The sequence below is a fragment of the Homo sapiens genome, chromosome 8 (genome assembly GCF_000001405.40).
Source record: "Homo sapiens chromosome 8, GRCh38.p14 Primary Assembly".
NCBI lineage: Eukaryota > Metazoa > Chordata > Mammalia > Primates > Hominidae > Homo > Homo sapiens.
The window spans coordinates 1684725-1710262 of NC_000008.11; the positions used below are offsets into that span (position 1 = coordinate 1684725).

General features: G+C 47.1%; 1 protein-coding gene across 1 annotated transcript in view, besides 1 other annotated feature; it reads left to right on the forward strand.

Annotated features, from left to right (window-relative positions):
• The window catches only part of DLGAP2 (DLG associated protein 2), a 970849-nt gene extending 947097 nt beyond the window's left edge, over nt 1-23752 (forward strand). Inside the window, exons 13-15 of the mRNA NM_001346810.2 lie at nt 6811-6902; nt 12423-12575; nt 16464-23752. Of these exons, the coding sequence (NP_001333739.1) occupies nt 6811-6902; nt 12423-12575; nt 16464-16682 (464 nt within the window). The 3' untranslated portion in view covers nt 16683-23752. The remainder of the gene's footprint in view (nt 1-6810; nt 6903-12422; nt 12576-16463) is intronic.
• Nucleotides 16524-16682: an enhancer, noted in NCBI's record as "conserved acetylation island sequence 7". NCBI's record gives its function as "activates a minimal heat-shock promoter by reporter assays in Jurkat T cells {active_cell/tissue: Jurkat}" and the evidence as "EXISTENCE:reporter gene assay evidence [ECO:0000049][PMID:17135569]".

The window sequence follows — 25538 nt, forward strand, 5'->3', positions numbered from 1 at the left end:
AGATTTTTGTATTATGTCAAACCAAATGGGTAAATACATAAAGGAAAAATCAAAAATGTGCATATTTTCTAAAACAAAAGAAATCCTTCCCAAGCTAAGACTTTATTGAATAATTCCATTGAGATGCAACTCTCATCAAGAACTCACCAAGGGAGCACATGTACACACAGGATCTTTCAAACGGTATCGGAAACTTCCTTGCCCCAAATGACTCCTCCCGAAGTAACGAATAACCTACATGTTCACCGGGTCAGATGCACATTCAAGGCAAACACTAATGCTGGGAGGAACATAGGGATTTGCTCACTAAGTTCTCCTTTTACAGCCAGAATGACCACAAGTCCTATTAACACAAGAGCCGGGGTCAGATGTGTGACTTTGTATCTCCTGGGCCATCTTCCATGCTGAGACAAAATGGTCTGGATGGGGAGAAGCACCCCGGCAGTTGGCACTCACACAGCGGTCAGCAGCTGACAAAGAGCCCAGAGAGACTCTGAGAATGAGCAGAACACATGCTCCATGCAGGGCACGAGGATGACATGGCCACAGAGAACTGTGCCTGTGTCCATGGTTGGCCCAGGTGGTATCAGACCAACAGAGAAGATTGAGGAATCAGAAATACTGATGACGTTCTGAGCACAGCAGATGCCTGTGCACATATTGGCAGCTACCAGCCTTAGGGGTCAATGTATCACACAGCTTAATGGAACGTCCACTGCTTCCAGACCTCCTGGGAGATGCAGGTCATAGACTGTGTCCATTTTGTGGATCAGACTAAGAGAATCAACCCACTGACCAGGCCTCTGCTAAGCACCTATGAAGATGTTGCCATACAACCCAACTAAATGGTCATGGGGAAATCAGACAATAAAAAGACATGGATGCTTGTCAGCACAGGAAAAGGAAACAGCAGAGTGAAAAGACAACTCACAGAATGGGAGAAAATGTCTGCAAACTGCCCATCTGACAAGGGACTAAGAACCAGAATATACAAGGAGCTCAAATAACAGAAAAAAAAAAAAATTCAAAAATGGGCAAAAGACCTGAATAGGCATTTCTCAAAAGAAGACATACAACGGGCCAACAGGTATGTGACAAAAGATTCACCACCACTAACCATCAGGAAAATGCAAATCAAAACCACGATGAGATGTCACCTCATCCCAGCTAGAATGGCTATTATCACAAAGACAAAAAAACAGCAAATGCTGTCACAGGTGCGGAGTAAGGGGAAAGCTTGCACACTGCTGGTTGGAATATGAAGTAGCCACTATGGAAAGCAGTATAGAGATTTCTCAAAAACTAGAAATAGAACCACCATGTGATCCAGTCATTGTCCTGCTGGGCATAGACCCAAACAAAAGGAAATTCATATGTCAAAGGGATTTCTGCACCCACATGTTTATTGCAGCATTATTCATGTTAGCCAAGATATGGAAGAGACCTAGGTTCCCATCAGTAGAAAAATGGATAAAGAAAATGTGGTAAGAAAGTAATGTGTGTGAATAATATTCACAGTGGAATATTATTCAGCCATAAAAAAAGGAATTAAGTCTTGTCATTTGGAGCAACATGGATGGAATTGGAGGTTATTATGTTAAGTGAGATAAGCCAGGCACAGAAAGATAAACACTGCGTAATCTCACTCTGATGTAGAGCTCAGGCGGGCGCAGTGGCTCATGCCTGTAATCCCAGCACTTTGGGAGGATAAGGCAGGCAGATCACCTGAGGTCAGGAGTTTGAGACCAGCCTGGCCAACATGGTGAAACCCTGTCTCAACTAAAAATACAAAAGTTAGCCAGGCATGGTGGCGCACGCCTGTAATCCCAATCCCAGCTACTCAGGAGGCTGAGACAGGAGAATCGCTTGAACCTGGGAGGCAGAGGTTGCAGTGAACCAAGATCACGCCACTGCACTCCAGCCTGGGCAACAAGAGGGAGACCCCATCCAAAAAAAAAAAGCAGAGCTCATGAAGGTGGAGAGTAGATTGGTGGTTACCGGAACAGGAGAGAGGAGGAAGAGAAGTTGATTCATACTAATGGGTACAAAAATACAGTTAGGTGGAAGAAATAAGTTCTAGTATACAATAGTACAGTAAGAAAACATGGTTAATAATGTATCATGTATTTCAAACTAGCTAGAAGAATTGTAATGTTCCCAACACACACACATAAATGTTTGAGGTGATGCACGTCCCAGTCATCCTGATTTGATCTTAGCACACTGTAGACATCTGTTCAAATATCATATGTGCCCCCAATAATATGTACAACTGTGATAAATCCATTAAAAACACACAGAAACGTGCTCAAAAACATGAAAATCATGAGGCTCGAGATCTTGAAAGGAGATTTCTGGGAGCCATAGCTTAGGCAGACCCCACTACAAAATTAGTTACAAGGGAATCTCAGGGGATCACAGGGGTTACAAATACTCAAATGATCATTTCCGACTCTCTGCAAATTTTATAAAAATCCATCTCAAATATTAGAACACCAGAATAGTGTGAATTATGTTACTTCATACCAAATTTAGATAGAATTGGAATTATAGAAAAAATAAAAGAGCCAAGTGTGTTAATCAAATTTCTTTGTACATGGAAGGCAAGGGTTCTAGCAGGTTCTTTGTGAATTTGCATTCTGATGAGAATTAGTCCTTAGTATAGCTCCTGCAAGTGTCTAAACTATGGCAAAATTAGAGACATATACTGGGAGAGAATAAATTGAATTTTCACTTCAACTTCTTTGCAATTATAGGAAGCTACTTACATTATAGGCATCAGATAGGATCATTCTCACTCACTGAACAGCAAAATTCTCCTACCATTAGCAGGCATGTCATTAGCTACACTTTTTGACATTCATTATCTCTCCCTAGCAATATTCAATTTATTCCCTTTATAATAACTCTCCACTACATTAAATCGATACCAAGATTTTGCCCATGTGTTCATGTTGTGTTAAAGAGTATAAATTGAAGTACTTTGTATTAACAGTTCAGTTGAATTCCATTTTAAGGGGAATGTGAAAATTGGGAATTAAACTTCAAATTTTAAGAAACTGATTGACTTTTAAATTACAGTTTGAGGAAGCATAGAGTTGGCAAAATAAATTCATTTATTCATCCACTTCTATATATTTCTGCAGCAACGACTTACTTAAAATAGTCCCTTTAAATATCTTCATTAATTACCCAGGTTTTAGAATACAAAAGAAATAGAAATTCAACATTTCAAAAGCAAAGATGATTCCTCCCCTCGTCATCAGCGAGTCCAGGGCTGCAGAACACGTTCATTTTGGGGGCAGTGGAATGCACAGGAAGGATGAGGAGCTTTCACTGTCACCCCTGTCAAGAAACCACTCAAACCCCACCGCCTCCAGCTGCTTCTCGACCGACTGCAGCGGCCCCTCCACTCCCCTCACCCCCAGACTCACCCCAACTCAGAGCCCTGCCAGCTCCATCCCGTGCCATGTGGCCAGGGGCTCCTGGCTTCCTTCTCCAGTCCTCCCCTCCCTTCTCTGTTCCCAGGCTGGCTGGTAAATCAGATCCAAGGAAGAGCAGCCTGTCTTGAAGTGGATTTGTGAACGGCACAAGGCCCCGGTGTTAAGATGCCCGACAGACAACCTTCCATCCTTCTTTTCAAGACAGAAACAATGCCAAAGTGTTATCCGAGTTACTTGCTTTTATTAAAAGTTATGCTTTTTTCATCTTTTTCATACCCTAGAAGCAATGGAGAATTAGGTGATATTCAGGAACTATTGTCACCTTCGTGGGGGTGACAGTGGCCCTGGGTCTACAAGGTGGTCGCAGGTAAAGGCCTCAGGAAGAGAGAACACAGGACAACACTTACTGCCGTCTCCACGGAATGGGGAGGGAGCTGTGGGTTATACTCTTCTTTCCCATTTTCTGCATGTGTGAAAGGTTTCATAATAAAACTTTGGGGAGCAAAACAATCTTCATTTTAGAAAAATAAGACAAGACAGAAAAATAGGTTTTTAAGTCCATTATCCTACCCAGGAGAAAATCACTTTGAAGAACACATGGTACAGATTGCCAGACCTTCATGTTCTAAAAAATGAGGGAGGCACCGCACACACTGCTGTGTAGTTGACTTCTGGGTCACGGCGTGCCATAAGCCCTTTCAAATCAAGGTTATCTCTGCAACGTCATTTTCAACTGGCTCATAGCATTTTATTACATGAACATTAAGACCCTTTGTGCCCATGAAATGCGGTTCTTTTTCCCGAAAGTCGGGCTAAGGAGGAGACACTGCAGCACCCTGGCTTGGGCAGCAGGATGCCAGTTTCTGGATCGTGTGCAATGAATCTCACCAGTAACTGTCTCTAGGACTGACTGTTAAGGAATGTTTGGGGGAAGAGCTGTTGTGGAAGAACCTACACGAGGATTGGGTTCACTTCCCTGGACCTCGGTTTCGACTTCTGGAAAGGCTGTCTAGGCTTCCACAGTCAGGTGTGCCCTGGGAGCCAGCAGGGGCATCTCCTAAACGTAGAAAGAAACGGACTTTCTGGCCCGACCCGGACCCCGTGAGTCAGGCCATGCCCGGCACAAGATCCCCAGGTGAGGCACAGGTGGGTCTGCAAGGCCCCTTGAGCTCCAAGCACCTGCATGTGTCTAGGCAAAACCTCCAGCACATCGGTATTCCCTTGTGAAGTACGTAAAGCCACAGATTAAGTGGGGATGGATCTCTCGCCTCTGCGTTCAAGGGGGCAAATCTCCAGGATAAATGCCCCCTTTTCCTACACCATTTTCCACCAGCCTTGGAGAGTCAGCTTCCCATGGCTTCCTTCCAACGGAAGCAGGAGAAAGGGCTGGGCTAGTTAAACCGCAGCACTTTCAGTTTTAGGGTGTGTCGTGTAGGTTAGTGATTTGTGCTCTGCAGAGACTCTCCAGGGAGAGCAAAAAGAGCAGGTGGAATCATCAGCTTGGCCAGAAGACGCAGATGACGCCCCGTGAGCCAGCTCAGGAAAGACGGCCCCACCTTGAAGGGCCCACGCTGAAAGCCAGTGATGGGGAGACGTGGTGTGAACTGAGAGGTGATGAGATGCGTAGATCATCTGCCCCCTGCCTGGTGGGCAGCCCTGGCCCCACGTGCTGACCCAGGCACAGAAAAGCCACATACGTGTACTGGGCACGCTCTATGGAAGAACGGTGAATTGTTGCTCTGGCAAATAATATCCAGCAGAGATCAGTGGGCCCAGGGTGCACTGGTAAGAAATGGGTTCCAGTCGATTCCTGTGTGGTTTTGAGGATCATGGTGAGCTAGGATCTACCAAAGCAGCTGTTTACAAAGTGGTGACCATGCTGACAGCAGACTCAAGAGAGGGTGTGGGGCCGGGTGCGGTGGCTCACGCCTGTAATCCTTGGCCTTGGGAGGCCAAGGCGGGCTGATCACCGGAGGTCAGGAGTTCGAGACCAGCCTGGCCAACATGGTGAAACGCTGTCTCTACTAAAAATACAAAAATTAGCCAGGCATGGTGGCATGCACCTGTAATCCCAGCTACTCGGGAGGCTGAGGCAGGAGAATCACTTGAATTCAGGAGGTGGAGGCTGCAGTGAGCCAAGATGACGCCACTGCAGTCCAGCCTAGGTGACAGAGCGAGACTCCATCTCAAGAAAATAAATAAATAAAACAAAATAAACACACACACATACAGTATATTCTTTTAAAAAACTTTACAGCCAGGCACGGTGGCTCACGCCTGTAATCCCAGCTTTTTGGGAGGCTGAGATGGGTGGATCACCTGAGGTCGGGAGTTCGAGACCAGCCTGACCAACATGGAAAAACCCCATCTATACTAAAAATACAAAATTAGCCAGGCATGGTGGCATGCACCTGTAATCCCAGCTACTTGGGAGGCTGAGGCCAGAAAATTGCTTGAACCTGGGAGGTGGAGGTTGCAGTGAGCCAGGATTGCGCCACTCCACTCCAGCCTGGGCGATAAAGGGAGACCCTATCTCAAAAAAAAAAAAAAAAAAAAAAAAAATTAGTATTTGATTAACCAAATAAAGTCATTGCAATTAGGAACCATTTGTAGATTAATTCTTCCTACTGAACTGTGGCCTGCTGACTCATAGCACACTCAGAAATGTAGCGTTAGCATTACACATATACTGGGTACATGGATTGGTGAGTTTAGTAGCTGTGAGCATATTCAGTAACTTGTGACCCTTTTACCATCTCCAGGAGGGAAGCCACATCTTCCTACGTGCTACGACCTTCCTGTGAGGCCTCTGTCCACGCAGCCTCTTCCTACGTAACACACACCTCACAGCACTGCCAGGAGATAACTGCCCACAGTTCATTAGAAATTATTTAATTGAATCCAATGAGAGAACCCATATGGATGTGTTTTTTCTAAAAATGAAGGAATTCACATCTAAAAGAGTTCACTAACATGTTAGAGTCCATAAAAATAGGAAGAACTCGATGTTGCTTTCACTCACACGTGTTCTTGTGTCTTCCAGCTCATCCAAACAGCAGCACTGAAATAATCTCGATGCCAAAATAAGGAAAACTCCCTGAGGTATAGGCCGCCTTTCTAAACTAAGTTTCTCCCAGTACCCAAGGAGAATGTCCTCACAGTGACATCTGGTCATCTCTGGATTTCCTTCATGAGTTGGGGACGAGCACACTAAGGCACGAGTCACCAGCGAACACGCTCGGCACGATGAAGTCGTCAGTTTTCATCTCCAGTGGGACTCGCTCCCTTGGTGTGATGTTTCTGCTTTTGTGTAATTGACCCAGTTTTGAAGTTGTTGTTTTTTTGTTTTTGTTTTTGTTTTAAACAGTTCTCGGTAAAATCAGGAGTGCTGTTGGGAGTGCCCAGCTTCTCATGTCCCAGAAATTCCAGCAGTTTTATTGGCTTTGCCAACAGAATATGGTAAGTGAATCCTCAGTGAACCCCTGTTCCCTGTAACCAAGCTAATGGGCATCATTCCACAGATTCTCATTGTTTTCTTCCTTGTCAAAGAGTTCCCATCGGTATGCGGAATATCACGTGCACTTACTACAGAAGAGGCTTCCCGCCCTGGGGAAAGAGACGATTCGGCCCTGGTTTAAACGCGGTACCGAGGCAGGGAGGCGGATACGGCCCTGGTTTAAACGCGGTACCGAGGCAGGGAGGCGGATACGGCCCTGGTTTAAACGCGGTACCGAGGCAGGGAGGCGGATACGGCCCTGGTTTAAACGCGGTACCGAGGCAGGGAGGCGGATACGGCCCTGGTTTAAACGCGGTACCGAGGCAGGGAGGCGGATACGGCCCTGGTTTAAACGCGGTACCGAGGCAGGGAGGCGGATACGGCCCTGGTTTAAACGCGGTACCGAGGCAGGGAGGCGGATACGGCCCTGGTTTAAACGCGGTACCGAGGCAGGGAGGCGGATACGGCCCTGGTTTAAACGCGGTACCGAGGCAGGGAGGCGGATACGGCCCTGGTTTAAACGCGGTACCGAGGCAGGGAGGCGGATACGGCCCTGGTTTAAACGCGGTACCGAGGCAGGGAGGCGGATACGGCCCTGGTTTAAACGCGGTACCGAGGCAGGGAGGCGGATACGGCCCTGGTTTAAACGCGGTACCGAGGCAGGGAGGCGGATACGGCCCTGGTTTAAACGCGGTACCGAGGCAGGGAGGCGGATACGGCCCTGGTTTAAACGCGGTACCGAGGCAGGGAGGCGGATACGGCCCTGGTTTAAACGCGGTACCGAGGCAGGGAGGTGGATATGGCCCTGGTTTAAGCAGTACCGAGGCAGGGAGGCTGCAAGGGGGAGTGGAGGACAGGAAGAGGCGGGCTGCAGCAGCGCGGCGTGACACTGTGTCTTTGCAACTGGATGCCCCACCAGAGCATCTTAGAAGAGGAGAAACAAGGGAAATTTCTATTACGTCTAATGTCACAAATGAAGAAAATGATCTAAGGTGCCTGGAAATAAAAATACATAAACAACTACAATGAAGAGATTAAGAAGAGATTTTGCAAATAATTTAGCCTTTGTATTTTATAGTCGGTAGTGAAACGAATATACCATGAACTAGATGATTAATACAGTTGACGTTAAACTTGGTTATTCCTGACAAGCAAACAAAAAGAAAAACCACATATATATTTACATATACTTACATATATACATGTTAATATATACTTACATATGCTTATATATAAATATATATACACATATTAATATATAAATATATATTTGCTATTTCTGGCAGAGCAGAAAAGCTCATATATACATCTCATATATATTAGATGTATACAAGATTATAATCATATGCATCTATATGTTTATATATACACCTATATATAAACATATATAGGTGTATTTATATATAAACATATATATTAACATGTATATGAAATTTTACTTATGTATCCTTATATATACATGCTAAACATTAACATATAACAAATATATAACATTAACTACATATTTTATATATACAAATATATAGTATATATAAAATATATAGTATGTGTGTAGGCAAATATACAGTATATATAAAACATGTAAGTTTACATGGTAATATATTTTATATATACATTTGCCTACACACATGCATACATATACATTCTATATATACTGTATATCTAAGTTTACATATACATGTTAATATATTTTATATATACTATATATTTGCCTACACACATACATGTATACTTTTCCTTGGCTGACTAAAGTATTCACTATTTTGAGAAATAGTAAATAATAGTTATGCTACTTAATAAGTTGTTTTATAATACATACATCGATTTCTTTTCAGACCAAACATTTTCAGTCAAATGCAAATAGGTCTTCTCTAGGCCTCGCGTAGCAATGGTGCCAGGTGTTTTGATGATGTTTTCCTTGGCTTTTTCACGTGCAAGGAGACATAAGAATATTCTTACACATCAAAGGATGCACAAGCAAGCCAGAGTTGCCATCTCATGTCTTTTCCTTAGGATCATTAAAAAGTATGCCTTCTCTAATACTTTCCAATCAACCCCACTGAAGTTCACGGCGATTTTAAAGAGTCACCAACACATCACTCTGACAAAGTTATAATCATCATTTAAAAGAGGGAAATAGAAAGGTTTTGAGTGCCTCGAAAGAAGCCTGTAACTGTGTAAACATTCAGCTGCCATGTCACCTGTGAACGTTCTTGCCTCCTCCATAGTATCTATTTGATTATTACCTTTAAAGGAATTGATTCGGGCCACTGACGAACTCTGTGTAACATTATGCAGACTCGGGTGAGCCTAGGCAGGCACTGTCTTTAGGAATGCTCATCCAAAGCTTCCCACACACAGCCCAAGGTGCATATTCAGACCTGCTAAATGTTCCTTTCTGCTCTGCCAGAAATAGCTAATATTTGGCTTAAAATTGTTCATCCTAATATTTGTTATGCCTTTTGAGTTTTAAAATAGCTGGCTTGGCTACATCCTTTTCTTTCAACTTCTATTCAGGATTAGTAGAAAAACACTTTGACACGTTTGGGGCGGAAGAGTGGTACAGGGAGGGGTGGTGCCTGAGACAGGCCTGGCAGGAGAGGAGTGTTGACTTGTTAAGAGATGCTTCGCTCATCAAAGCCAAATGGTCCGCAGCGCAAAGTAGCACCGCTGTCTGCTGGAAGTTGTTGGTAGGTAACTAAGCTTTAAGTCAAAGAGCGACCCTAGAAAATGTCAGAACCCCAGCCCGAGATTGAGGACTGACCACAGGGAGCGGAGCCTTTCGGGACGGACCGCGGGGGGCAGAGCCTCTCAGGGTCGGGATGTGCAGGTGGCTTGTGACACAACCAGAAGGCACATAATACCGGAAATAACTTAACCTCAAAGCGTGTGGCCTGATTGCTGTGCTTGTGGGACCAGCAGTTTGGTGTCCCCAGAAACTTAGTCTCATTCACACCCACTGAGCCTGCCTCTGAATTTTAACTCCATCCAACCCCGGGGGGTGTGTGCCTGAGCAGGTGCCGGCGCACAGAGAGCTGCCCCAGGCCACACGGGGCACCGAAGTTCCTATCCAATGGACGCCGGATGCCAGAGCCACAGAGCTGTGTGAATTTAAAAGACGGCAATTTCACAAGGAAAGAGGCCCTGCATGAGTTTGCTGGGGGAAAGGGAATGGCATGGCACAACCATTGACTTTTTTTTTTTATTATAAACACCTTATCATCTCTGAATGTTCAGTGGATTCAGATGCAACCACCTCCCCAACCAAAAGAGAACAGAAGACAAAACCAAACCCTGACCATGCCAGGCTGTGCCCGTCCGGCCCCAGCATGTGGTCTGGGTGAGCCCAAAGGACGGGTGTGTTGTTGCCGAGGAGAGGAGGGGGGCACGGGAAGGCGATGCCTGCTCTCAGGCAGCCTCTGCCACAGTGGCCGGCCATGTTCCTCCTTCATCCCCCAGGAGATGTGACCAGGACCACCCAGCTGCGGGCGAGGGAGGAGAAGCCACTCCGCTTCCCCCACACCATCAGGCACAGCCGTGCCCGGCCCTACAGAAAGAGGGGCACAGCCATGACCGGCCCTACAGAAACAGGGGGCACAGCCATGCCCGGCCCTACAGAAAGAGGGGGCACAGTCATGCCCGGCCCTACAGAAAGGGGGCACAGCCATGCCCGGCCCTACAGAAAGAGGGGGCACAGCCATGCCCGGCCCTACAGAAAGAGGGGGCACAGCCTTACCCGGCCCTACAGAAAGAGGGGGCACAGCCATGTCCGGCCCTACAGAAAGAGGGGGCACAGCCATGCCTGGCACTACAGAAAGAGGGGGCACAGCCATGCCCGGCCCTACAGAAAGGGGGCACAGCCATGCCCGGCCCTACAGAAAGAGAGGGCACAGCCATGCCCGGCCCTACAGAAAGAGGGGGCACAGCCTTGCCCGGCCCTACAGAAAGAGGGGGCACAGCCATGCCCGGCACTACAGAAAGAGGGGCACAGCTGTGCCCAGCCCTACAGAAAGAGGGGATGTTCTTAGGTTGGCGAAGACTTCTGGAAGCCAGGTAGGAACCACCCCTACAGCCTCTGAGCAGCCTCCCCTGCTGCTTGTCACCTGGCCTGGCCTGCCCTGAGGCTGCAGCTCCTGGCATCCCTCGACTGACTTCGGTGCAGAACGTGGCCTCCTTGCCAGGCACTTTAGTTATCCCCACCCACAGAGGCTGAGTTCGGGCTCCCAGCCGCTGGCCAGGGCCGCCCTCCTGGGGAGCTCCTCAAGTGCCTGGGGGGGCTTTGAGTGGCCAAGGCTGCCCTCGTGTGGCTGCAGAGAAGAATGGGCTCAGCCGCGCGGAGGGCAGCTGGGGGCCCCAGGTCCTGGCTCTGGGTGAGGAATCGCAGAGCTGTCCGTTCAGCATGCTCTTCACTGAGCATGCTGAGTGTGCACTGCTGAAACCATAAGCAAATCCAGTTGAATGTTGACCCACCAGAACCTCCTCTGACTCTTTTAAATCCCCACTGAATCAAGGGAGCCACACCTGGAAAAATCATTCAGATTTCAATGTAGGGAGCAAGCCGGGCACGGTGGCTCACCCTGTAATCCCAGCACTTTGGGAAGCTGAGGCAAGAGGGTTGCTTGAGCCCAGGAGTTTGAGGCCACCCTGGGCAACACAGCCAGACCCCATTGCTACAAAATTAAAGAAATTAGCTGGGTGTAGTGACCTATGCCTGTGGTCCCAGCTACTTGGGAGGCTGAGCAGGCAGGATCCCTTCAGCCCAGGAGGTAGAGGCTGCAGTGAGCCATGATCACACCTGTGCTCCAGCCTGGGCGACAGAGAAAGACCCTGTCTCAAAAATAACATACATAAATGTAGGCAGCTGGTGGAAATCATGTATCTGTCAGGCACTGGGCAGAGAAACCAAGCACGTCTCTGGGCCACTCGGCCCAGGGCTGCAGCCCAGCAGCGTCACCTGTGCCTCCTAAGTGTGGGCGCCGGTTGGTGAGAGCATCCTGTTCCTTGGCGCATTACATTTGTAAGGTGTCATCACCGTAAGAACGAGAGCTAAGAGCCGTCAGAGAACAAGCAGGTATAGAATGGGCTCCAAGCTGGTTCCCCACTGCCACCACCAGGCCAATACCACGGCAGGCTCACGGAGCCCTGTCCCTTCCGAATCATCCACAGGTGACCAAAAACACAGGCTCCTACTGCTTTTATGAGCTGTGAAGCATTTAGAAACTCTCCCATCTGCCCCATTCCCAGCATTTTCAACGTGGAACAATGAACAGCTGTGCTACGTGTTTTTAGGCCGACAGCAAATACGTGTGCTAAAGTAAACTGTCATGGAAGCATGGCCTTCCCAAGTATCTGCCTCAGGCTGGAATTAGCCAGGCTTCTCCCTAATCCGCCTCTTGAAAGGCATGCGTGGGGAGGAGTGGCCTCCCCAGCCCTGTGCCCGCAGGAGACTCTCCTGGCTCTGAACACCCTGTGTGTGTCCCCAGGACCCCAGCGCCATGCCGAGGCCGACGTCGCAGGACCTGGCCGGCTACTGGGACATGCTGCAGCTCTCCATTGAGGACGTCAGCATGAAGTTCGACGAGCTGCAGCGGCTGCGGCTCAACGACTGGAAGATGATGGAGTCCCCGGAAAGAAAGGTAAGGGCATCCATGCAGGGCCGGCTCCCAGCAAACCCCCTTTCTCACTGCACTAACGACCTGCTGCAGATAGAGCATGACAACGGGGTTCTCAGTCTTTTGCTGGCAACACACGAGCAAATTTCCCTCTATGTATGTGTGCACATGTGTATACGCACATGTGTGTGCGTGTGTGTGCATGTGCCGAAAATGGGGCAGAATTGAAGCCTTGGGCATGGGTGGTAAATAATAGGGTCTCCCCTGCTCTGTCTCTTCTATATAAGCCTTTCAGAGAGACACTAGCCAAGATCACAAGCAAACCTGCAGCCTCATTCCTGACAGGGGTCTCACCTATGAATTATCTTTATCAAACTTGTTCTCATTGTGTAAATATTAAGCTGGCTTCCCACAGGGAAAGTTTTAGGCCTGGTTATGGACTATCTCCTATTCAATATACCTTCTAGTATGGCCACTATAGGCAAGGCGACATTTTATACCTTATTGAACCGTTTGATGAATTAATCTTCCTGTAGATCCATCAGCCTCAACCCTTAAAATAGGCTGAAATTTGCCATTAAATCTGAACCCTGGCATTTCACTTCTTCCGTGATGCTGTCATCAGAAGAACTAGTAGATAGTTCTGAGTTAGCAGCAAAGACATAGATTTCCTCACACGTTTTAAAGACGTCCTGAGGAACCATAAATGGATTTTTCTAGACAAATGTTATTAATTAAAATGATAAAGAAAATCAAGTCAGCATCCTTTGGGGAAGTGGTGTTTGGTATCCAGCAAGGATGCACACCTGGGTCATGAGAACGAGAGCCAGATCTAGTGGTCATCATCATCGGCTCCTCCCAGAAGGTGCCCTGGCCACTAGTGGAGTTCCAGGCCAGATGCAATGGATCCACAGGTTCCCTCTCATCCCAGACGACAGGGGAGTGAGGTGGGAGTGCACAGGGTCCACGTAAGCCATGCGTGGGACAGGTCCACATAAGCCATGCATGGGACTAGGCAGGTCCACTTAAACCATGTGTGGGACAGGTCCATGTAAGCCATGTGTGGGACTAGGCAGGTCCACGTAAGCCATGCATGGGACAGGTCCACGTAAGCCATGCGTGGGACTAGGCAGGTCCAAGTAAGCCATGCATGGGAGTAGGCTGGTCCACGTAAGCCATGCATGGGACAGGTCCACGTAAGCCATGCGTGGGACTAGGCAGGTCCACGTAAGCCACACATGGGACAGGTCCATGTAAGCCATGCATGGGACTAGACAGGTCCAAGTAAGCCATGCATGGGACTAGACAGGTCCAAGTAAGCCATGCTTGGGACAGGTCCATGTAAGCCCTGCATGGGACTAGACAGGTCCAAGTAAGCCATGCGTGGGACAGGTCAGTGTAAGCCATGCATGGGACTAGGCAGGTCCACATAAGCCATGCATGGGACAGGTCCACATAAGCCATGTGTGGGACTAGACAAGTCCAAGTAAGCCATGTTTGGGACAGGTCTGTGTAAGCCATGCATGGGACTAGGCAGGTCCACATAAGCCATGCAGGGGACAGGTCCATGTAAGCCATGTGTGGGACTAGGCAGGTCTGCGTAAGCCATGCATGGGACTAGACAGGTCCCAGTAAGCCATGCATGGGACTAGGCAGGTCTGCATAAGCCATGCATGGGACAGGTCCATGTAAGCCATGCATGGGACTAGGCAGGTCCACATAACCCATGTGTGGGACTAGACAGGTCCGTGTAAGCCACGGTTTGGATCTGAGGTGAAGGAGATGATCAGTGATGCTCCTGAGGGAGAAGGCTGTTCAAACGGAACGTACTGAAGTTAGCCCAGGTGCACACGATGGTTCCGTCTAGTCTCCATTCTTTGGTCATTGAGAGCAAACGTGAGCCCATCTACCCAAGCTGCGCATAGAGTATGATTCTCAAAATGGAAACGTCTTTGGGAGGCCAAGGTGGGTGGATCACGAGGTCAGGATATCAAGACCATCCTGGCTAACACGGTGAAACCCCATCTCTACTAAAAATACACAAAATTAGCCGGGCACAGTGGATCACGCCTGTAATCCCAGCACTTCGGGAGGCCTAGGCAGGTGGATCATGAGGTCAGGAGATCAAGATCATACTGGCTAACACGGTGAAACCCTGTCTCTATTAAAAATACAAAAAAAAAAAAAAATTAGCCAGGCGTGGTGGTGGGCGCCTGTAGTCCCAGCTACTCAGGAGGCTGAGGCAGGAGAATGGAGTGAACCCGGAAGGCAGAGCTTGTAGTGAGCCAAGATCGTGCCACTGCACTGCAGCCTAGGCAACAGAGTGAGACTCTGTCTCAAAAAAAAAAAGAAAGAAAATGGAAATGGTTTCTCGCTGAGGGCAGAGCACGCCAGTCCAGAAAGCGAGCAGATCTCCAGCACAGCAGAGGCTCCGTGCCTGAACAGGAGGCCCTGCCCCTCCTGAACACGGCGTCTTAAAAATTCCCTGGGATGGGCCCTGCACAGCATCTGCTGGACACTCCTACAGTGCCACACCCACAGGCCTGGAAGCTCCTTTGATTGGGGAACCCCCACAGGAAATACTGATGTGTACATCTCACAGGCTCACAGTTCAGGGGACACCAAAAGAGGAAACAGATCCTCTTCTCTCCTTTTCTCTTGGCATCCCCTGAACTATGAGGACAGTTATGTGCTGAAAAAAGGAATTACTTGTTAAAGTAGCTGAAGGTTTCAATGAACTGATCCCCCCCATTGTTTTAGATGGATGCCAAGAAGTCAGGTAAGAGTCATTGCTTCTGGCCTAGTCACGTAAAACAAGCCGAGGGAACAAAGTTCCAGACACCAAAGCAGGCTTCTTGCCACAGGCCTCCTCCGTACTCACACAACTGCCTGTCTTCCCCCAATCTACAAGCACCTCTGGGCTCCCTTTGGAATTTTTCAGAGGCTGAAGAGAAAAAGACATGAGTGGAGTTTTCCTGTTTTTCTCCCCCAAAACTAGATATCTGCTTAGGAAAGTGGTTCTGACGCCTTCTGCCGTGTGCCCTTTCCTGGGAAGGAAACAGCTGGCTACGGAGAGTCCCTGTCATGGCTCTGTCCAGAAGGGGAGACGGGGCAGGTCCCACTGTCTTTAGGAACAATGTGAATCACGGGGCAGGTCCCACTGTCTTTAGGAACAATGTGAATCGCAGAGTTAGGGACACAGACCTTTTGTGGGAACAAGTGCAAGCATTACCCTTTGCATGTGTTGCATAATTGTGAGATTTATCTAAAACGGCATACACGTATTTTAGCGTGACTTATCTGAGAGTCTGAGCTAAGGGTGAGAAATACTTGCGTCTTTTTACAAAGCAGGCAAGTGAATAGTGGTTTTATAAATATCGTCCACGTCAATGGGATTTTAGGCCAATTAGCGAATCGGGCCAGTGTTTCCCCGCACACCCATTCACGTAAGATGGTTTTCATGAACATACTGGAATCCCAGAGTCTGCAGAAAACCCTGCAGTGTTGAATAGGGATGTCCAGCGATGGTGTCCAAAACCCTCGCGATGCTCGGAGATGACACAGGGCTTTGGGAAGCGCAGGAATCGGGCGACAATGTCAGACTAGCGCAGTGACTGCAGAGACGCAAGGTGCGAATCTGCAGAATTTCTTTCCTGATTTGTCCACGCTGCCCCTGACGCCTCTGCCCCCTTTGGAGAGTGCGAGGGAGCTTCCACAAATCCCATCCTGTGCAGAAGGCAGGCCTGTGGCCTGGGAGCCGGGGACCAGGGCAGACGGGGGACGGGAGTGAAGGATGCGGCCCTGGGGGCTGCGGTCGGGAAGGGTCAGGCCAGGCCCCAGGGCCGCTGAGCTCGCGAGCTGCTGGGACCCTCCTCCGAGCACCTGCCAACGGTGACTTGCGCTGCTTTTCAGGAAGAAAGAAAGGTCCCGCCTCCAATACCAAAGAAGCCTCCCAAGGGGAAGTTTCCCATCACAAGAGAAAAATCCCTGGACCTGCCCGACAGACAACGCCAGGAAGCCCGGAGGCGCCTCATGGCCGCCAAGCGAGCGGCGTCCTTCCGGCAGAATTCCGCCTCCGAGCGCGCGGACAGCATCGAGATCTACATCCCCGAGGCCCAGACCCGGCTCTGAGGGCGGAGGCCGGCGCCTTCCCCTCGTCGCTTCCGCTTTCCCGGACGCTTGTGCAGCGCGGCGCCGCCCTGGTGGTTTCTGTCTCCTCCTCCCGCTGAACACGTCCTCGCTCCCGCGCTCCCCGCGCCCCGGACACAGCGGGACGCGGCCGGCGGCCTCAGAGTCCACGGAGCTCGCGGCGAGGACGACTTCTGCTTTTGTTGTTGTTGTTGTTGTTCACGGGTGGCCTGGCTCACACTTGGCTCTGAGGGACAGGTGTGGCGAGACCTGATTTCTCCTGCGTGTTCTCAGAGGACGGCGAGAAATGCCTCTGGAGCTGGAACCCAGCTTACATTTTGTTATTTCTATTTTTATAAATTGTGTGATAATTAGAGGTAAGAATAACAAGTAACTATAAACGGGTGCATCCCACCACTCCCTGGAGGCATTAGACACCCAAGTGGAAGGTGCTACAACCTGAAGCGCAGGAAAGAAAGGCCCATTCCCCTCGCACAGCCGAGCTTTTACTCCCTGAGCACGGGCCGCTCCGCTCCCCTGCTCCTGTCTGTCTCGGACAGAAAACACGAGGCTCCTTGTGTCAAGCTTCCTGTGATGGAAAGCGACCTCTCCAACCACCACACTCCCCGCCGTACAGTTCTCCAGAATCCCAGGCGATGACAAGTCTGAACCCACGAAAATACCCAGCGCAGCATCTACACATTCAAAAGATAAGCTGAGTGTTCCCACCAGGAAGTCACGCGCAGAGAGGAGAGTCTTACGGAGGGCTGGGAGCTTAAAAGGAAAACAATGTCCTTACTTGTAAACAGTTATTGTATTTTTTATTTCTTTCTAACTTAAAATACGACACCCAGTATTTTCTTTAAGTTTCACCATTTACGCTACATGTGATTTTTTTAATGTATGTATATATATATATTCTCAAATTGCTCTATCAGCTGACTTTTCAGGGTATCCTTAAAAAAAAACACACACGAAAAACAAAAGTTTGCTTGTTTAAAATGACAGTTGTGATGTAAAAAGTTTAAGAAATATGAATGTGAGTGGTAAGTATATCTCAGTTTAAATGGTAAAGAAGAAATGTAGTTTACATTTGTATTTTTCCAGAATTCTTTTGTCCTATGCAGTATTGCTAAAGTCGAGAATATATTCCTTGCCTGTGTTAGACATGAAGGGAAAAAGAGGTCACATATTGTGATTTCCAGCTGTAGCATTCAAAAAAAAAATTGGTGTTCATGACTCTGTGGTCGGTGCCAGAGGAAAATAGGAACGACTCTAATTAATAGGCTTTCTGTGTATATAATTAAATTTAGCTGCTGCAACCATTGTTCTGACACGACTTCTGTTTCACAGTTCAGACCGGTCTTCAAAGGAAAAGCCTGTCCGATTTTTCCATGGGTTCCAGTTTCAGAGTTCTCATTATTACTCAAAGTAAAAGCGGACTGCGATTTAAGATGTTTCCACCCCAATACCTGGTCTTCCTTCCCGGCTTAAGGAGTACCATGTACTTAGCCACAGGCAGAATAGCTTTCGATGACCCCATAGCACTTTGTTTCTTCGCCTTGATTTGCACTTTACAATGTCCCCAGCCCCTCTGCAGCCCGTGGCTGGCAGGGCGTTCGATGTGCGGTTGGCCCCCAGCGCGCCCTCCAGAGCTGCGGTGTCTCCCTGCCTCATTCCCCACATCCCACTGAGCATGGGACCATTGGGAGCAGAGCTGATATTAAAGCATGTTTAGCTTCGAAGTTTTACTTTTTTAAAGCTGAGTAGTTAAGAATTCCCTGTAAAAACAAAACCCTGTAAATTGAGCCTCATGTCTGGTATATATTTTACCAAACAGCCTTAAAATATATTTGGAAGCAAAAATCAGTACGAATGTATCTCCTTGAAAAATGCAAAAAAAAAAAAATCCCTGAAATATTCTTCTATAAATGAATCCTATTTCCCCAGAGTGTTCAAGGCATTTTTCTACCTAAATGAATACCTAAATCTTGAGTAGTGTACGGTAATGACGCTTCTTCCTATATCCACTCTTATTATGTTAAAACAAATGTATTTGCGAGTATTGGCATTTTAGACTTTAAAAATGCTGTATGATTTCAGATGAACTCTGCTGTTTAGAAGTAACCACAGAAAAGCAAAGTCAGTGTACACTCTGAGTGAAAGGAAATGTAATGTGGATAAAGGCCCGCCACCTCCTCACATTGGTCTATCTACTGGCAGCTGATACGTTTAACTCATTTCCTTGAGCTTATACAAAACATAGAAAAGCAAACTGTTAAAGTAGTCAATAATTATTTGTCTCAGATCCCAGATTCTATGATCCCTGCTTAAAAGAAAATGTTCACTGCATGTAGGTTGATTTCTTATGTTTTGTAGACTCATTGTTATTTTTCAATCCCCAAAAGTCTTGGCCTAAACCATCCCTAGGGGAGCAGATTAACCTACCACTACATTGCACAGGGTTGGTGACTCGACGTGGTGAATGTGCACACGCCCTGCCTGGTCCGCCATGTTCCAAAGAAGATGATTTAATGGTAGAACGGATACCTGCTGCTAGACCTGATGGAATGTTACCTGTCCGTGTTACATAATCAAGTGCAATATACTCAGTTCTCATGCAGGTGACATTCTACCATGAAACGCAGAAGATAAGCCATGTTTCTGTATTGTACATGTAAAGAAAAATAAAACTGTTTATGATACTTGTGTTAGTCACTCGAGCTAGCTTATTTCAGCCACTTCTAGCAGATCATGCCATGGAGCTCACGACGTGTGACCATTTCGTCATATTTAAAATATAACTTCAAGAAAAGAGTAAACATCCATTGGAGAACACGGCTGAAAATTATTGTGCTGTTCTAGGAACATCATCCTAGAGAGTGTGATGTTCACTATAACCCCATACCTACATTCCCTAATGATACAGCCAATGACAGGTGAAACCCAGACACTCTCCTTAGAGCCGACAGGTTGATCCTGCTGTGTTGAAGGCTGTGGTTAATAAAACACAAGTATGATAAACAGGACCTAGCGTTTAGCCCGGGAAAGGAGAATGCTGCTTGTCACCTAGAGTGCTTTCCTTGTGATGCGTCTCTCGCATCTTCACGTGTTGTTGTGTTTGAAGTAAAACTAGTTGTTATCGATGACAATTTTTACCATAGTTTTCTCAGCAAATTTATATCACCATCTTAGAATGGTATATAAAAAAATTGAACTGTTTATGATACCAAAAAAATTACAGTTTTGTTTAAAAGGAAATGTTGATGTTTTCAACTCCAAATCAATTCTAAAAACTTCAAGCACTTAATGGAAAGGTAAATGGTCAGATAAAAATATAATTACCTGTAAGGTTATCTGGTTTTAAAAGAAAAAAAAAAAGCCTACAAACTCAGTGACCTACTACGCAGAGGGAATTTTTCCCTGCTGCTTCTTATGAAAGTGGCCAGGTTTATTATTAGAAGACACAGTGGCAGAGCACACATGTGCACAGGTTCTGATTATTTCTCTTGGAGCATATGTCCTTGTCTTGATTTTTGCCTTTTCGATGCCATATTAAGCAGCCACCGTTTCCACCCCTTTCATTAGAAGGCCCTGCATCCGTAAATTCGCGCATCTCTGTTTTTGTTAGATCCTTGTAAGCATCGCTACCCGAGTCCAGGATGGAATTTCACAGGAAAGTGAAGGGATACTGCAGGCCTGTGTTTGCAGCGCCTGTGGTAACTGTGGAATGAGCTCTGTTAGGGACAGTTGTCTGGTTTGTGCCAAACCTTCGAGGGGCGAGTAGGGAGTGGGGGAGGTGGGTCCAAGTCTCCCTCAGGAAGGCCTTTTCTATCGGCAGCAATTCCATCAAGCCAAGCCTCCTGTGGTCCTGAGCATGAAGGGGCCAGGGGACCTCCTGGGAGATGCAGCTTTTGTTTCCGCTGCGTTTCATCAGTCAGCCTTGCTTGGAATTCTGGCAGGTTCCCCGGGGTGTTTCAGTGGACAGGAGGCCCCCGTGCCGTGGCTGAGTCAGCCTGGGTACCCCAGTCACCAGCAGGGCCACCCTTGATGACAGGGCCCCCCACGAACCTGGGAAAGGCAGCGGGAAATGTGTGAGAGGGTGTGCGCTGGTACGGACATAAAAGCATTGTCCAAAACAGCGCTGGTTCGGGGAGGGCCCCTGGATACTGCCTTTGGCCCACACTGAAAACTGAAATTGCCCCACCTGTGAGCACAGAAACACGCTTCTCCAACACGGGCCGAAATAACTAAACTCCACATGGTTCCTGCCTGCTCATTTCCCAGCCCTCTTCTTCTCAAGCCTGAACTTCATTTTTTTTTTTAGCTGCAAATTTAACAGGCTAATTTAAAACTGCAGTTTTCAGACGACAGCCCCTGGGAATGTTCCAGGGTTCTCTTGTTTTGATCTGCATGTCTGTTTACACTTCTCTGTAGGCGTGGGTTGAATACAAGTTTCCAAAACTTTAAAATAGAAAACCACGAGCTTAAGAGGTGAAAAAGATGACCCCTTTCTGATTAGGATCTGTAACTCTGTGGGCTGGGTCAATGCAGTGTGCTTCATTCAGGGCCATGTGGCAGCCATGACACACACCACATAAGGTCAGCTCAGAGCCCATGGCTTCCCTGCAGGAGCCCCATCTTGTCGCTATTAGTTGGGAGTTGCAATACATTGTTGGCCATAAACAAAGTGCTAAAGGAAAGGGTTTGCTTCTACACATTCGGCTGAATGTCCCCCAGTGCAGGGTGGCAGCAGAATGTTCTGGAAATGAAGGAGATATTGCTAGGAATCTCTAGGCTGTTAGGCAACCTGGCTTTTATTCATCCTCAGCCGGCAACTCATCTCAAGTTTATGTCTCAGTTTTTTTCCTCTAGAAAGGGGATTACAGTTCCTGTCCCTGTCTTCCTCCAGGACACACTGTGAGGATTAATGACATATTGGCTCTAAAGTCCTTTGAGCTCCTGGGAACAGGTGGTGAAAGTGTGCGTTACTGCTAAGGATTAGTCCCTGGCCTCTTCTAGAATGCCGCCCTCCCAGCTCTGCAGGGCACGCTGCCAGAATCCAGGCTGGTCGTAAACATCTCAGAGATAATCAGGGACCACCAGAGGCAGAGGCCATGAGACTGTCTTTGGAAAGGTTTGGAAATGCAGAAATAACTACAAGGGCCATTCTCCTTAGCTTCTGGCTTTCAACTGTTTCTAGATGCTTCCAAGAACAAGAACCCAGCACCAACCAGAATTAGGCCACGTTTTCACCATTACTTAAGCTCAATCGCCTCTTAGATGAAATGAGGAGATAAACTAAACATTAAAATGATGAAGGAAAAAAAATTATTTGGAAGCCGAAAACCGCATGGGTGGGGAAACATCAGGAACGAAATCAGACACACTGACTCAAACCACGCAAGGGTTTGAGAAGCCCACCCCTCTAATTCCAGGCGTTTGTAATTTTTCTACTTCGCACTTGAGAGAAGGCAGAGGTGGTCCGTGGGAAAGCTCCGGGAAACAGCCGTCTTTCATCCTTGCCACATTGAAAAATGTCCACAATTTTATGAATTGCTGTCCTAACCCTGGCGTTTTTATCCAGTGTTAAAATAAATTATTTCAAGTTTCAATGTAAACACTTAACAGATGACTTCTTTGCAGAAGAAATGTTCGTTACCTACTATCAAACTACTTTTTAACAGATTTTGTATATACACACACAAGTTGACAGAGGTTTACCTCCCTACTTTCTTAGATTTTATGTAACTCTTTTCATTGGTGCTTATTCAGAACCTGAAAGCCTTGGGCATCCAAGCTTTCACCTACTCAATGGAGGAGAGGTGATAATGAATGAAAAGATTGACACCAGGTTTCTTGGACAAATTTAAGTTCAAATTTATCTCTTTCAAGTAGACCATGGTCTCCCTAGAGAGTGTGTTGGCTTGTGTCTGCCAGTACGACAAAGGACGCTCCCAGCTTGATCGTGGTACCTTATGGAAGCCACTCACGCATTCTCTGATTTACCCCCAAAACACTACCATGCCCCAGCCCCACTCATTTAAATAATACAATCATATCACTTTCAAAGGGCTCAGCACGAATGTTCCCCTCACTCCACTTTTTAACTCGTTTGCTGAACTCGACAAGGCTTCCCCTTACGAGCAGTGAGACCTAGGCTACTTTCGAACGCTTCCTTCCGAACGGTAAGCCACTTCGCTCTCGGGCAGGACAGGTCCTCCCTGCAGAGAGAGACAACTCATCCCCCGACCTTCCATACTACAGACCAAAATACCCAGGTGTGGCCTAAGGACTATATTAAATGCCTCCTATAGAAATTCAAGGAATGTTAGAACCAGGAAACTAGCTGTTTAAAGTTTTAAAGAAGTATATAAATATATATATAAATATAAATATGAAATCATATCGAGTGTGAGGATGAGCAGAGTGCCAAATATTCAGCATCTGTACAAAGTCATTCACTGGAATTCAACTATTTTATGTCATTCTCTTTCTCACGCTTTTATGGTTCTTTTGATAAATTCTATTTAGTAGCATGCAGGATACCTAATCTGAATGTGCAATATGCTATTCATCACCACGACAATTTCTTACTTCCTCTTAATAACTTACCAGAATGTTGGTCATTCCTTTAAGGCAGTTAAGGATTGCTTTATTTGTGTTCTTTTTTCCCATGACTTTTTTTCACTCTCAGCTGACTGTAAGAAACTGTGCACCGTTTCCGCCATAACCGTCCTGTGACGATGCCTCCATTTGACTTCTGTATCGCTGATGTTCACCTCCTGTAAATAGTTTGGCAATTAAATTTTTTGAGAAAAGTAATGTTTACTTTTTTATTGGAGTGAATTCTCGTGTTATTTTAATCTCAGAAAAATTATATAGACCAAAGAGTTTTATCCGAAAAAAAATTACACTCTTCCTCCATTATATATTTCATTGTTGAAATATCCTCAATTTCTCTATATTTTAAGAAGTAATGGACATTTATTAAGGTTACAGATTTAATATGTATGCAAAATGGTATAGATTAAATGAGTTTTTAATTAATAAATCCTACAGTATTTAGTTAACGGTTGTTTTACGCTCTTTTGAGTTGCATTGAAAAGAGACGCACATTAGCTCACGGGACCTTATGGATCCTGGCTCCAGTGAGACAGGGTGGGATGTGGACTTGGTGATGAAACTCCAGGAGGACAAGTGGGTTCCAGTCCCCAGTGAGCCTGCAACTGCCAGGAAGCAGTGCAAGCCAGTCCATCCAGGGAGGTGACCGGTCTAGGAGGTGGACCGGTCCGGGGAGGCGACCAGTCCAGGGAGGGGACCAGTCCGGGAGGTAGACCAGTCTGGGGAAGTGACCAGTTGGAGAAGGTGGACCAGTCCGGGGAGGTGACCAGTCCGAGGAGGTGGACTAGTCCCGGGAGGTGGACCAGTCCAGGAGGTAGACCAGTCTGGGGAAGTGACCAGTTAGAGAAGGTGGACCAGTCCAGGAGGTAGACCAGTCTGGGGAAGTGACCAGTTAGAGAAGGTGGACCAGTCCGGGGAGGTGGACCACACGTCACCACTCTGAGCAGTTGCTCCCTGCCTTCCACCTCCTTGATCAGTTGCACCTGCCCTTCTTTCTCTTGCCTGTGACCAGCTAGTCTCACCCCTCTCAGTGAGAAATCCTGCTGCCTCATGTCTCTGCACCTTCTTTCTATGCACTCCTTGCCTGGATACTCTGAGTATTGCTCTGCAGTCTCCCCAGGGGCACAGTGCAGCTCTTGAGGACAACCCTCCCCCCAGCACACATCAGGACTGTGTTTCATGCATTGTTTTTCATGTCTTTCCTTTACTGTATTTCTTTTCAAGATACACTTATAACCAGCGAAAACAAAGCTTTATATATTTTTCTTTTTTAATCCCATAGCCCTTCAATAAATATTTTAATTTACTTGGCCTTTCATTTGAAACATTATACCTTCATCCTCATGTAGTCAAACATTATTTTCCCAGAAGTCAGTAAAAGTACAAATAAATTACTGTGGAATTCATTTTAAATTATAACAAGATAATTTATAGAATCTTTTAATTAAAAACCAAGAGACCAGTGCATGAGAATTTCTGGTTTCTCATACAGCATTCTGTCCTCACAACAAGAAAAAGTGGAACAAGCTGAAAAGCAGCAATTCTTTGTAGATTCTTATCAAAATGAATGTCACAGGGCAAACAGCTCCCCCAGAATGAGAGAGGCTGACACAGAGACTCACAACCCACTGAGCAGATGCCCAGGTACGGAAACCTCTGTGGGGACCTGTGCTGGGCTGGGGAAGCCTGACCCGTGGCTGACAAACCCAGAAGCTCAACGTGGACAAACCTGAGGACTGAAAACTCTAGGGGGCCCAGTCTTAGGACGCCCCCAACACCTTGTGAGCTTTACCCCCAGGAACCCCCCCGCCCCCCCCGCCAGGTTCTCAGGGTATAGATCAGAGAAAAATGCCCTTGTGTTTCCAGCAGGTGGGGGGAAAGTAGCCATTCTGAAATATGCCCAGAGCATCTGTTCACCTTAAAAAAAGGCCCTCAAGTAAAAGTATCCTACCAAAGCCTAACAGACAGACTTGGGGTTTGCCAGAGTCTGACATATCTAGGGGAAGGGAAAGACCCTATGCCAGCCCCCTGTAGCCATCCTAAGGCAGGGGTGGGGAGGGGGGACTGGGAAGGATTTACAAAGATCAGACCTCAGGGCACAGGCTCACTGAAAGACTGAGACCCAATCATAGGATAAGAGAAAGCTTCCCCTCCCCCCTACACCTTACCATTCCATCAATAGCACTTTTGTATTAAAAAAGAGGGAGGCCGGGTATGGTGGCTCGCACCTGTAAT